Source organism: Homo sapiens, chromosome 12 (genome assembly GCF_000001405.40).
Source record: "Homo sapiens chromosome 12, GRCh38.p14 Primary Assembly".
Lineage (NCBI taxonomy): Eukaryota > Metazoa > Chordata > Mammalia > Primates > Hominidae > Homo > Homo sapiens.
Genome location: NC_000012.12, coordinates 22,632,334 through 22,647,137, shown reverse-complemented (window position 1 = coordinate 22,647,137; position 14,804 = coordinate 22,632,334). Strand labels below are relative to the sequence as shown.

The 14,804-nt window shown below is 34.1% G+C and overlaps 1 protein-coding gene across 6 annotated transcripts in view; it reads right to left on the bottom strand.

The window, feature by feature from the left end:
* Positions 1–14,804, bottom strand: part of ETNK1 (ethanolamine kinase 1) — a 65,495-nt gene that overhangs the window by 43,528 nt on the left and 7,163 nt on the right. For 5 of the 6 annotated variants that reach the window (NM_018638.5, XM_017019580.2, XM_047429100.1 and 2 more), the window contains exon 2: positions 3,116–3,375. In NM_018638.5, coding sequence (NP_061108.3) covers positions 3,116–3,375 — 260 coding nt within the window. Of the gene's footprint in view, positions 1–2,027; positions 2,928–3,115; positions 3,376–14,804 lie in introns of those variants that run through there. The other variant, NM_001039481.2, reaches the window with a different exon arrangement.

Sequence of the window (14,804 nt, the reverse complement as noted above, 5' to 3'; positions counted from 1 at the left end):
AATAACTGATTGCTACAAAAAAGCTCAAATAAAACAGAGAATGATAAATTTCCATAAGTGGAATTACCCGTCAGGCACTATAGCTCATTGTCTTTACCTATACCATTCCTCACCTCCTACAGGCTACCTTGTCCTTCAAAGTTCAGTTCAAATGTGATCACAGTGAAACATACTAATTTCCTATGTATGCCCAAAATCAACTACCTGTACTTTCTCTGAAAGCCTTTTCTGTTCTTCTTTGTACAATATTTAGGTTATTTTTCCCTCAAGGTTACTGTGTCACAAACTGTAAATTACTAAGACAGCAAGGACAGTTTAGATTCTTCTTCCTCCCCCAGACTAGTCCAAACATAAACATAAGCCTTTTACATTCAAATGAGATACCTTCGTCATAATCATAATATAAGCATACAGCTATGGTTGAATGAGCCAATTCAAGAAAGTACTGTGGACTTTGATCTAAAGCGCTCATCAACATTTACTGATCAATCAGTCCAGATCACTGCATGCATATTATTAGGCTGACCTAACAATCAATAGTGTCTTAAAAGTTTATTATTATATTCAAACATTAAAGCTCATAAGGATTAATCAAAATGTGACAACTAACCCCAAATTGTCAGTAAGTCCCTATTAAATTAACAAATCAAAGATTCTTTTTAACCACAGAATATAAAATTCATTTAAAAGGGGCTAAATAAGCACATCATCCCAAATTTACATCTTTAACCTCTTCTTGGGGCTCCAGACCATGGTCTACTGATCTGCTTACTTGGTATTTTAGAAGTATTTCACCGTACATATTTGAAAAAAATAAAACCACACTCCTATTTAAAATCATGTGTAACTCAGACGTTTTGTTAATCAAAACTTGCCTTTCCCTCCCTTAGCTTTTCTTTTCATATTTTCTGTTTTATAGTGACTAAGACCTGCTTAACAATAAGAAATGCCATAGGAATTAGAATACAGTCTGAAATAAATTTAACAGCGAAACAAATTAAATAGCAAATGTTACTATTCATAATGCCAACTAACAATATCCTATCATACAGGGTTCTTCAGTGTCATCTTCTTTTGCTTACTTTCTCGGCCTCCACTCTGCTTCTCCTCTGCAAAACTGTGGGGCAATTCAATGTATCACTTATTACAAGCCAGCTGTCAAAGAATTCAGAGTATTGATGTTTGGTTTCTAACACAGTATATTCTTTTTATGAAATGTGTATATGCCTACATTAGTATCACTTATACATATTCTGAGTAAATCTAGGAAGGGGGGTGATGAAAAGAAGTTGGTTAATGGGTATGAACGTACAGTTAAATCAGAGGAATAAGTTCTAGCATTCAATAATACAGCAAGGAAATTATAGTTAACAATAATTTATTGTATATTTCAAAATAGCTAGAAAAGAAGAACTGTAATGTCCCAACCCAAAAAAAAATGTCTGAGATGATAGATACACCAATTACTCTAACTTGATCATTATACAGTGTATACATGTATCAAAATATCACATGTACCACAAAAATATGTACAACTATGATATATCAATAAAAAATATATTTTTAAAAAGATCTAAGTAGAGAAAAAATAAACAAAGGCTTTGGCATTTGGGAAAGAAATAATAAGTAAGTAGATCTAACCAAAAAGTATAGAAAAGGATATTTTTACTGAAAACATGTTTATAACATTGTATCAAATACCAAAGTCAGCCTTGACAAACCTTCACTGTTCTTGATCAAAAACTATAATTATTTTACTGTTTCTATTTGAGGTTACTGAAATAGATCAATCATGTTTTACTCTCTGCTTTAGTTACAAGGAAACTCATGTGGCCCTTCTCTAGGAACTTCATGAAATATGTTTTTGTATATATACAAAACCAGCTTTGGGGGGATCCAATCTATGCATCTATTAATTTTTAATGCTGTTATATAGGTATTTGTCAACCATTGTGAACAAGATTGAGGATTTATAAATACATGCAAGCCTAAAGACCACAAAACAATTGACACACAGTAAACACAAATGTATTAATCAGAATCTTTTAATACATCTAAAGACTAGACTCATGTAAAAGAAGAAAATATATGTGATGGCTAAAAACTAGGGTTTGAACAGATTTCTATGACAAAATATTTTAATATATTATTTGATACAGGTTTACAATAGATAAGTGTTACTGGTACATTCCATTTTTGTCAGTGTATTAACTTAGCAATTCTTAACCTATGATCCAGGGAGCCCCGGGCCATCCGAAATCCTTTCAGGAGCTTTGTAAAGTTGAAACTATTTTCACAAGACGTTATTTACCTTTCTCATTCTCACTCTTTCACAAGTGTACAGTGTACCTTTCAAGAGGTTATATGATATGTGATAATTTCATCACAATGATAGCTAACAGGACATGTACTTGATATTCTTGTATTCTAAAAAATTTGTTTTAATATCTAATATGGTAAATATTGATAAACATTAATCAAATATTAAAACAAAGAGCCCAAAGAGCTATAAAGAGGTCTTGAGACCAAAATGGTTGCAAACTGCTGGTCTAACCTATGAATGCTGTTTTCAAATCCAGACCATTTTCTAGAGTTTTCAAGAGCAGAAAGAGAATTTTTAAAGCTGGCAATTTTGGAAAAATGATCAAGCATATATGACATTATTCTTTATAGAAAACATAATATATTAAATTAAATAATGAACAACGTAAAGAACAAAGAATTGTTAACCAAATTAATAAAATTTTAATAGGCAAGAACTCTGAAAACATGAACAATTAAGTAATAAGCAATCGGCAGTAAGAAATGTATAACACTTCAACTCAAACACTAACTAGAAAAAACTAAGCAGAAGCCTTGACCCTCTGCAGCCGGTTAATCCAAAACATCTTGTAGTTTTTCCTTTGCAAAGAGTCAACGATGATAAACTGCAAATATAAAGAAATTTACTTCTATCTTTTTAGGGAAAACAAGAACAAAAACAAAAACCCTAGCTAAAGAAAGTTTCTAAGTTAACCAAATAGTTGCTCAAACAAAGACAATTTTAAAAAATATTTCCTTAATGCACTTAAATGCCCTATTTTTCAAAAGGAAAAATTCAGAAAAGAAAATGTACCTGAAAATGGCTGGGTTGCAGACATGCTTTGGATCCAGTGCTTCTCCTTGTATAAATTCATAGCATAGTCCATTATTGAAGGTACAGTAGAGTTGTGGTGCACACCCATGAGCCTGCAACACTCGAAAACTCTTTACTTCCTCATCTCGATCGACTAATAACTCAGTCTTATTGCCATAAATTCTCACCAGGACTACATCCTCCATGGTGTTTCCCACGTAACAGCCAATAAGTTTATTTGTGATTCCATCTGTGAAGAGCTGCCAAAAATTTTTTTTAAAAATGGGAAAAAAAGCAATTATCTATCTTTAGAGAACAGGAGATAAATTGAAAATCATGAGTTAAATACTAATTAAAGAAAACACCAACTTCTTCACATAAAAGAACCATCTTTGAATACAATTTTATCTAACATCTATAATTTTAATTCTATATTTAAACAAAGAGAACCACTAATGTTAACATGTTGCCCTTAATTCATATAACATGCCTTCCTTGATCCAAAGTGTTAATTATACATTCTGTCTTCAATATTTCTATATAACTTTCTTGATACCTGCCATTTCTCACAGTCTGCCTTGTATCACAATCTTTGCACATTTGTGTGTATGTGTGTGTGTACACATACAGGGAATGTACACATACAGGGAATCTCTCCTATGTCCAACAGATTGGAAAGTCTCTGAGAATGGGAACACTGCCCTATTCCTAGTATGGTTCATTACTTATAGAAGTCCTTAACAACATTCATAGATTTGTTAATAAATATACAAATATAATCTACCATAATTTACATTATGGCAAATCTCCAACTTACTAAAAACTCAATTTTATATATTAATTTTAAAGATTATCTAACAAAACATGCATTAAACATTGTGTTATACACTCAGAGTATAACAGTTTTGACTATTATAATTTAACCACTATGGCTACAAACAAAAACGCAACCTTACAGGAAGAAAAAAGAGGTAAGTAGAGATTTCTATGGTATTTTTTAAATAAGACTTTTGGGGCTTGTCAAGACCTTTAAGTCAAGTACTTCAAATCCTTTTTTAGATTTGAGCACAGACGGTGTATTTCAAAAGGAAACAGGTAATTAGCAATACTAGTTATAAAAGTCTATTAAAAATTGTAATTTTCATTTTCCTCTGTATTAATCTGACACTAGAACTAACACTTCACTTCTATTATAATTCAGAACTTTTGAAGGCTCCCAAGTGGAACAAAGGAAGAAAAGAGAAAAGCGAAAGCAAGAATTCAGAACATTTTTTTCATGTCAATGGGGCAAGAATAGAAAAAAAGAACAGAAGTTTTAAAAGTATGTATATACATTTAACTAATGCTTAAGAAAGAGGGTAAATATTTCTATCTCAATTAGATTGATATGATATTAAATGACATATGAAAAAAGATGTGAAAGTATTTACTAAAACTATTAATAATATACAACTAACCAGTGTTTATATAATGGTTTTTATTATATATAGGGCTTAGCTGTTACCTTTATTCACATAATGCAGTAAAACTTCATGAACTAGTATAAAGGGACTTATTTTGAATATCCCCATTTTTTAAAAATGTGCATACTAGTGTTGCCTTCCACCTAGATTTCAAAAAGACTGTATGAAAGACACTGTCAGGAAGAATATATACTTAAAATGACTATTTTTTATCATAATCATAATTTTATTAAAATCTGCATTGAAAAACATGTTATTTCTTATCACAATGCCACTATCAATTCACACATGCTGTTCTGTAACTTCTTCATATGTCATAGATAAAATATTTCAAATACGGTAATAAAGATTGAGAAACCTTTTAACATTCTGAAATGCTTATAATGAAAGAAACTCTAGGCTCCTCAAACTCCAGAAATCATCATCTCCATTTTCTGAATCTTCACAGCAAACAGTAGGTACTTAATACTTAAACACTAGAACTCGTATAGCTACCAACATTAATGTCTTCATCTAGCTTATAAAAATTGCATTCTCTTATTATCCCTAAATTGACCATGCTATATTATACATTTATTTGTACAAACATAAAAAGATGTGTGCATTTAAGGGCTAGAGACAGATATGATTACTCAATACAAATTACTGAACACTAATTAAACATTTATGAAGAAGACACAGTGTCACAACTCCAATGACACTAGCCCTAACTTTCTGTATTGCACAACAGCTACATAACTGGAAAGAAACCGCTAGAATAAAAAGATATGTGAATAATATAATCTCGCATTTATCAAAATATTTTATGTATAAATATTTATTTGTCTACAAAGATACTAGGTAGTTTAAATCTTGTTTCTTTATTTTCTTGTTTCTCCATAAGTAATTTAACCTTTTTTCTTTTGACTTAGGTATGTTTACTAACTTGTAGTTTTACAGCAATGAACCTGGTTTACTAGTGGAAAAATTAGTAGCAAAACAACGGCCTGGCACTCACTAGGCCTTGAAGTCATGCTGAACATAAACTGTTTTACAGAACATCAACATTCAACATTAGATAGGGTTACTCTGTGATCATAATGGGTCAAGAAAACAACAAAACCACTCTGTAATCATGTCTGAAGGTAGAAAAAAATAGGAACTTTGTCCAAATGACAAAAATTACCAAATACCTCCTTATCCTGGCTAATATGAGTGACTGCTGCTCTTTTCCAGTCAAACTTTGGGCCTGCTTCATTTCTTCAGCGTTCTAGGTACGATTAAGATGCCCATAAGTCATAGATTTGTCCCACCTCCTTCCTGACACCATCCAATCCAGAGAATACCGTTACCTCGAACCCTCCCCCAAATCACCAGACAAATCCCCACCATTCTCAATGTAGTTCTCCCTTACTGCAGTGAGTAATAAACCCAACTTCTTCAGCTACAGGTGAGTTTCTACTGGTCTCTGGCTGGAGAACAATGACTTCAGTTTAAAGATGTACAGGTAATACTTCTTACCTTTGCATTGTTCCCACCTCATACATAAACCACAAGTAACTCAATGTGCTGAATCATCTAAAATATACTATTAAAATACACTATACACACTCTAGCTATATATACTATATTAAATATATACTAGAAATATAAAATTCCACCTCAGTAGAGTTGAGACAAAATATAAATCTTAGTGAGCTCCTTTTAATGGGGTTTATCCTGCACTATTTGTCAAGTATTTCAGATAGTAGTAGCTGACAGGATGAGCTACAGAGCCAGAGTTTGAGTTTGAATCCCAGCTCTGCTACATACAAACCGAGTAACCTTAGGCAAGTCACCAACCCTCTGTGTCTCTCTATCTCATATATAAAATCAGTACATTAGAACCTACTTCTTGCATTGTTCTGAAGATTAGTAAGTTGATACACATAAAAGTACTTAGAACAGTGCTTGGCACACCGTAAGCTCGTAAATGTAGCCAATGATACATTTAAATTTCAATAAAAAACAGCAAAGTAATGATGAAATTATAAAATAATAATTAAGACTAAAATATATGTTAAAACAATATTTAAAAACAACAATTTCAATATGTCTCTAAAAGTAGCTTAAATCCAAATAGCTAAATGTTAAATATCATTTCTGGGCAAATTCTCTTTCACATCTTAAAAAAAAAAAAAAAAAGGCTTTCAATTTAGTTAGAAATGCCATTCAACGTTACTCTCTCAAGTTAGTACTACCCTATATGCGTTTGGTTTTGCATGACGAATTATATCCTGTTAAACTTTAATCCCTAAAATGTATACTACTAAGCTAGTAAATTTAGCTACTAATCACTTCTAATCTTTAGTTTAAATATTAACAGCTTTTAAATACTAGGGAAATTAATAATGGATTCTCAATTTGTTCTCTGCCTTACCTCATCACATAATTTTTAAAAACAACATCTATATTGGTTAAAAATACAATTTAAACTTACCCTTTAACAAATTCCAACAACCCAAGGGTCTACTTTTTAATTGCTTAATATTGATGAAGTTATCACTGTTACTCTGAAAATTGGCAATTAAAATAGAATTAAGCATTTATCCTACATTTTCTACAAACTGTATTTCATAATATCCAAACCGATCTAATTAATGAGAGAAAGTTATCTACCAAAGAATTCCCGTTGACAAATGTGGAGGATACAACAGAAAAAGTATTCAGGAAACAATCTTCAATGAATAAAACCATTAGATGAAAGATTGATAGGTAATTTTATAATGGTAGGAGTCATCTGTCACCTCCTGATTTCACGAAACAACCTGACATGTTATACCTTCTGATGTGATGCAATATGAAATACACTGCACTACCTATGATTTGAAATCTAATCAAGGTTCTAGATCTTCCTCTTTTTTTTTTTGAGAGTCTCAGTCTTTTGCCCAGGTTGGAGTGAAGTGGCACGATCTCGGCTCACTGCAACCTCCGCCCCCCAGGTTCAAGTGACTCTCCTGCCTCAGCCTCCCAAGTAGCTGGGATTACAGGTGCCTGCCACTATGTCTGGCTAATTTTTGTATTTTTAGTAGAGATGGGGTTTCGCCATGTTGGCCAGGCTGGTCTAGAGCTCCTGATCTCAGGTGATCCACCCGCCTCGGCCTCCCAAAGTGCTAGGATTACATGTGTGAGCCACAGCGCCCGGCCAGATCTTCCTATTCTTAAGAAAATATAGGGGTTAAAGAAACACCACATGGCTGGCCATGGTGGCTCATGCCTATAATCCCAACCCTTTGGGAGCCAGGAGGATCACTTGGGGTCAGGAGTTCAAGACAACCCTGGCCAACGTGGTAAAACCCCACTTCTCTAAAAAAATAAATTAATTAATTAAAAATTAAAAAACACCACAAAGAAGAACAACAAAAAATATACAAATCCAGAATGTAGGTCTTTCTACACAAACGCCCCACCAATAAATAGTCAATAGCATACAGTCTAGTTTAAAGAGGCTTATGAAACATACAAACGCATGGATCTAGTTTGTTTCCTAACTCAAACAAATACGTATAAAAATACTTTTTGAGGTAAAATTTTATTATGAACTGACTATTAAACAGTACTTAGACATTACTGCTAATTTTGCTCAGTGTTCTAATGGTGCTGTGATCACGCAAAAAAAATAACTTTTTATGTTTACAAATTTATACTGAAATACACAAAGACAAAGACAAGGTCTGACTGAGATTTGCTTTAAAATACTTTAAAGGGGTTAAAAAATGAAGCAAATACGGATTCTGGATAATATATGAATATTTTATTCTCTCAATTTGGGTATGTTACAAAATTATAATTTTTAACTTGCATGATACAACTAATCAAAGCATAAGTGAGGAACTCTAGAGCTTCTATTAGAGAATTACAAAACATAAAAGCATCAATGAGAAATCCTAGAGCCTCTATTAGAGAATTATATAATATAATATAGCACAAGTATGTAAGATTCACTTGCTAGCAGATTCCAAAACAAATAAATGATAAAACTTAAAGACAGGCCAAGCGTGATGGCTCATGCCTGTGATCCCAGCACTTTGGGAGGCCGAAGCAGGTGGATCACTTGAGGTCAGGAGTTCGAGACCAGCCTGGTCAATATGGTGAAACACTGTCTCTACTAAAAATACAAAAATTAGCTGGGTGTGGTGTTTCATGCCTGTAATTCCAGCTACTAGGGAGGCTGAGGCAGGAGAATCATTTAAACCCTGGAGGCAAAGGTTGCGGTGAGCCAAGATCGCTCCACTGCACTCCAGCCTGGGAGACAAAGTGAGACTCCGTCTCAAAAAAAAAAAAAACCCCACCTTAAAGACAGGTTAAAAAGGGGGAAAAAAGTTAAAAGGTCCAAGTGTTTTGAGATGGAAAAACAGATTATGTGGCCATGTATCCCACCCACTTCTAGAGGCCAACTTCTTTCTCCTTCCCTTCTCTGCCAAATTTCTTGCAAGAGAATTTTGTATTCAATTATTTCCACTTCCAAACCTACCATATGCTTTTTTTTTGTAATTTTTATTTTTATCAATCAACAATAGACCTCCCCCTAAACTACCTTTCAACTCTCATGTTATTTAATTCCTTATTTTTAAATACCATTCTTAAACTGCTTTTCTGTAAAGTCTACACATTATCTGAGACTTCTTATAAGACTGAGCTTTCTTATTTCCTTCACACATAAACACTCTCTCTCTCTCGCTCTGTCACTTCTCCTATCTTCCTTTACCCAATATAAGTATATAAGATTTTTTATTTTATCAATTTTCAATTACACTATTTTGTACACATCCTTCCAAACCCCAAAATGAGATATACTGTAAATTTCCTTTCCTGGATAGTTTGTTTCCTCTGTAACTAATAACTGGCTTATTTTCTCATTTGCTTACTTTTTTATATACCTATTTGTACTCTCTATATTAGTGACTTTCAAATTGGGCTATAAAGCCCTCAAGGAATGGGAATAGGAATCCAAGTCAGCAAAAAAGCTCTGCTATATCCCCAACACATACAAAGGCACATGTGCACATATACTACACTACCACCATCTTGCCCTCATTTATTTCACATACACATGACACTTGGGGATAAGATTTTACTTGAACAAAGAATTCTAACCCTGTAGAAAAGGTTGAAAATCACTGATAAAAATCATCTAATGGGCCACTTTCACTCTTGGCCAAGGCAAAGTAATGGGGACAGGATTTTACCCTTTTACTTGAAACAACCCCTCTCCCACAAATAAAAACCAGACAAAACATATGAAATGACAATTTTTAAGACAATGGACTTTAGAGAGAACAGTGATCCCTGAGAGATGGGAAACAAACAACGTGAACTCTATGACTGCCCCGGCTTAATGTCTTGAGAGAATTCTCAGGTCCCAGCAAAGGGAAAGAGAATCCAGATGGAGCTTGTGTGGACTTCATTAATTGAGATAAACTGAGCATCGGAGGATATCAAAACAGCTAGAGTATGCAGGACAGAGTATTAAAGCGGAAAGACAGGGAGACAGACAGGAGAGAGCACTCTAGAGGATCTGCAAATGGTCCCACTGTATCCCCTTGGTATCCGAGGGGGATTCGGTGCAGGATCCCACCCCCGCAACAATGCCAAAATCTACAAATGCTCAAGCCTGTTATATTTTGATTTAAATTTTTTTGTTCATATTATTTTACACGTTCTGAAAGCCTGTTGTATAGAATGATGTAGTATTTGCACATAACCTATTTATATTCTGCCATATACTTTAAATCATCACTAGATTACTTCTAATACCTAATACAATGTAGATGTTATGTAAATAGTTGTTATACTGTATTAAGGAATAATGACAAGAAAAAATATCTGCACATGTTCAGTACAGAAACAACCATCTTTTTTTTCTCTTAATATTTTCAATCTGCAGTTGCTTGAATCCATGGATGCAGAAGTCATGGATATGAAAGGACAACTCTATATGCTGCTTACAAAAGACATAGAGAAGGAAGCTGAGGTAGCTATCTCATATCAAATAAAATAGACCTTAATGAAATATTACTAAAGATAAGGAGGGACATTTTATAATGACTAAGGGATTGATCCACCAAGAAGATATAAAAATTCTAAATGTGCATGTATCCAACAATACAGCTTCAAAAGATATAGAGCAAAAACTTACAGAATTAAACAAATCCCATAATAAATGTTGGAAATTTGAGCACACCATTCAGGACCTCATTTTTAATTTTTTTAATGCTTATAGATGACACTATTTTTTTCCAAGACCTCATTTTTTTTTAGCAGAGAAAAATCATTATGTAGTAAGAGCTCTAAACAACAAAATTAAAAATTCAACTTAACTGACATACACAGAACACTACACTCAACAACAGAATATTCTTTTTCTTACCTTTTTTTGAGAGAGGGTCCCACTCTGTTCACCCAGGCTGCAGTGCAGTGACACAATCACAGCTCACTGCAGCCTCAACCTCCCAGGCTGAAGCAATCCTCCCACCTCAGCCACCCGAGTAGCTGGGACTAAGGCATGCATCACCACTAACTTTTTGCATTTTTTTTGTAGAGACAGGGTTGGCCAGACTAATCTTGAATTCCTGGAATCAAACAGTCTGCCCACCTCAGGCTCCCAAAGTGCTGGGCTGTGCCTGGCCAAGAACATACATTCTTTTCAAGACTACACAAAACATTACCAAAATTGACTATGGGCTTCATTATAAAGCAAGCCTCAACAAATATCAAAGGATGAAAATCACTTAGAGTATCATCTCAAACTACAGTGGATATGAGCTAGATAGCAATAACACACACACCAAATAAAACCGGTTAAGATAATAAATTTTTATGTTTTTATAACAATTTTTTTAAAAAATTAAATATGCATCAACTCATTGGAAATGAATCAAATACATATGTAAAATGAGTGAGATAAAGAAAAAACCACCACAATGGCAATTAGAAAACATTTTGAACTGAATGATAATAAACACATATTGTCAAGCAAGTGGTATCTGTCACCTAATATCAGGAGTAGAAGTCTTAGAACTTCTGTTCATTGTATCTTGGTATCATAGTCACCAAAGAAAACACGATGCACAGTCAAGCACTGCATGGAACAACGCTTTACTTACACAGAGAGGAGACAAAGCAAGATCAGCTTCAGTAATAGGTGTTGGTATCCCATGGTGAGCAAGTTCCTCCCAGCAGCTGATGCCAACAACTGGTCTACACACACCCTTCTTGGGCTACAGCAGACCAACCCTGTCCCTCCATCCCCTTCCCAATGGGGAGATACTGAAGGTGAGCCAGGTGACATATGACACACATACTGAAGCAGAGCAAAGGAGGACACACTGAGTGTAAAACAGGGAAAAATATTTCACACAGAGTGACAGGTCCAGCACAGGCTGTGAGGACTCTATCGCTTGGTAAGAAAGTGTTTCAGGCCCAAGGCCCATTTTTATTTGGTGAGAAGGGGTGGAAAGGCTGTGTGCATGAGACCGCCTTTTCCAACACATGTCAAGACTTGTGGGTACTTACAAAGACATGTAATGAATAATAGAAATTTAAAAGGCAAAAAATTAGTGCTTCCAGCTCAAGAAGCTAGAAAAATAACAGCCAATCAACCTTCAAAAAACGATTAGGAAGGAAATAATGAAGGACAAAACTATCAATAAAATAGAAAAACTCAACAGTCAAAAATTATTATTTGGGCCAGATGTGATGGCTTATGCCTGTAATCCCAACACTTTGGGAGGCCAAGGTGAGCAGATTACTTGAACTCAGGAGTTCAAGACCAGCCTGGGCAACATGATGAAATCCCATCTGTACAAATAAATAAATAAATAAATACAAAAATTAGCCGGGCATGGGGCGAGCACATGGTCGAGGCTGTAGTGGGCCATGATCGCACCACTGCACTCAATCCTGGGCAACAGAGTGAGACCCAGCCTCAAAACAAACAAAAATTGTTCTTTGAAAAGATTAATACAGTTGATAACTTCTTAGCAAAATGTATGAAGACAATAAAGCAACACAAATGATAAAGAAATGAACTTCACTACAGACCTTAAACATGTATTATTAAAAGCAACTCTTCCAAAAATAGAAAAAGAAGAAACACCTCTGAACTTGGTACCAAAACTTGTCAAGGACACTATAAGAAAGGAAAATTACAAACCAATCTCTTTCATAAGCAGAGCTGCAAAAATCCTAATCAAAATATTAGCAATTGATACAGTAATAAAAAAGAGACTATATACAACCAAATAGGGTTTTCTCCAGGAATGCAAAGGTTACTTAGCATTCAAATTTTTTTTCAATCAAAGTAATTCACCTCAATAAGAGAAAAATTAAGAAAAATCTTATAATCATCATGAAATGCAGAAAAAACATTTGGCCAAATTCATCATTCATGATGAAAATACTTAACAAACTAAGAATAAAAAGAAACTTGCTTAATCTGGTAGAGTCATTAAAGAAAATCTATAGCATATATCATACCTAACAATAAATTATTGAAAATGTTCTCCTTAAGACTGGGAAATAAAAATGACCACTATCACCTTTTATCTTCTTTTTCAAGTGTGTTAGAGAGGTCCTTACTAGTGCAGTAAGACAAAAAGACAGAAGGGGAGACAGCAATATGTATTATTTTCAGATTATACATAGAGAAAATACAAAATAATCTACATAAAAACCTTTAGAGTGTGTGAAAAAAATTCAGTATAAAGCAATTAATTATAATCCTATATACCAACAATAAAGTAATTTTTTAAATGATACCCTTTACAATAATATCAAAAAGCGTCAACACCTAGGGATAAATCAAATAAAACACGTGAGATCTCCACAGTGAAAACTTCAAAAGTTTGAGAGAAATTAAAAATTTATTTTAAGATTCAATATTGTTAAAAGAATTCACTTCTCCCCAAATTTATCTACTGATTCCACAAAATATAATCAAAATCCTATCCAGTTTCTTTTGTGGGAATCCCAAAATTGAGTCTACAACTTATATGGCAACTTAAAAAGTCAAGAATAGTCACGGCAATCTTAAAAACGAACAAAGCTGGAGTCCTACACCAAAGCCTATAATAACTACATCAAATACCAAGTCCTGTAGCAATGATTGAGAGTAATCCACACAGAGTGGTACTGCTACAGTAACGGACAAAACAGACCAAAAGAAAAGAACAGGCCGGGTGCGGTGGCTTGCGCCTGTAATCCCAGCACTTTGGGAGGCCAAGGCAGGTGGATTGCTTGAGGCCAGGAGTTCAAGACCAGCCTGGCCAACGTGGTGAAAGAAAAAAATAAAGACAGACAATAGCAATTATTGGTAAAGATATACCATAAGTGAAACTCTCACATAATGCTGTTAGGAATATAAACCGGGACAATCACTTCAGAAAACTGAAAGTGTCTAACAAAGCTGAAAATACACAACTAGATGACTCAGAAATTCTACTTCTAGGTATCCACTTAACAGAAATGGATATTCGTGTTCAAAAAAAGTATAATTGTAAGAAGCATAATTTGTGATAGCCAAAACATGAAAACAACCTAGGTGTCCATTAACAGTAGGAGACATATAAATTGAGGTATATTCTTAAAATGGAATGCTAGTCGGTCATGGAAAAGAACTACAACTATATACACATGAATAAATCTCTCAAAATCTGGGCATACGCCAAACCAAAATTTTAAAAAAACACATATTTCATATGATGCCATTAAATAAAATTCAAAAAGAGGCAAAACACTGATACAAGGCACAGTGGCTCACACCTGTAATCCCAGCACTTTGGGAGGCTGAGGCAAGAGGATCACTTGAAGCCAGGAGTTTAAGACCAGCCTGGTAACACAGCAAGACCACATCACTACAAAAAATTTAAAAATTAGGCAGGCATGCACCTTTAGTCTCAGGTACTCTGGACGCTGATGTAGAAGGGATCGCGTGAGCTCAGGAGTACAAGGCTGCAGTGAGCTATGATAGCATCACTGCACTCTAGCCTGGATAACAGTATGAGACCCCATCTCTTAAAAAAAAAAGTAAAAATTTAAAAAATAATAAATAATAACTAAGTCACATTATGTTTAACATGATCATCAAATATTAGGTTTGTGACTATCAAAAATTATAGTCAATACCATTCAAACATGGGAAAATGTTTATAAAGGGCTAGTGAAAAAAAGAATATAAAATTATACGTATGATTGCAACTATGTAAAAT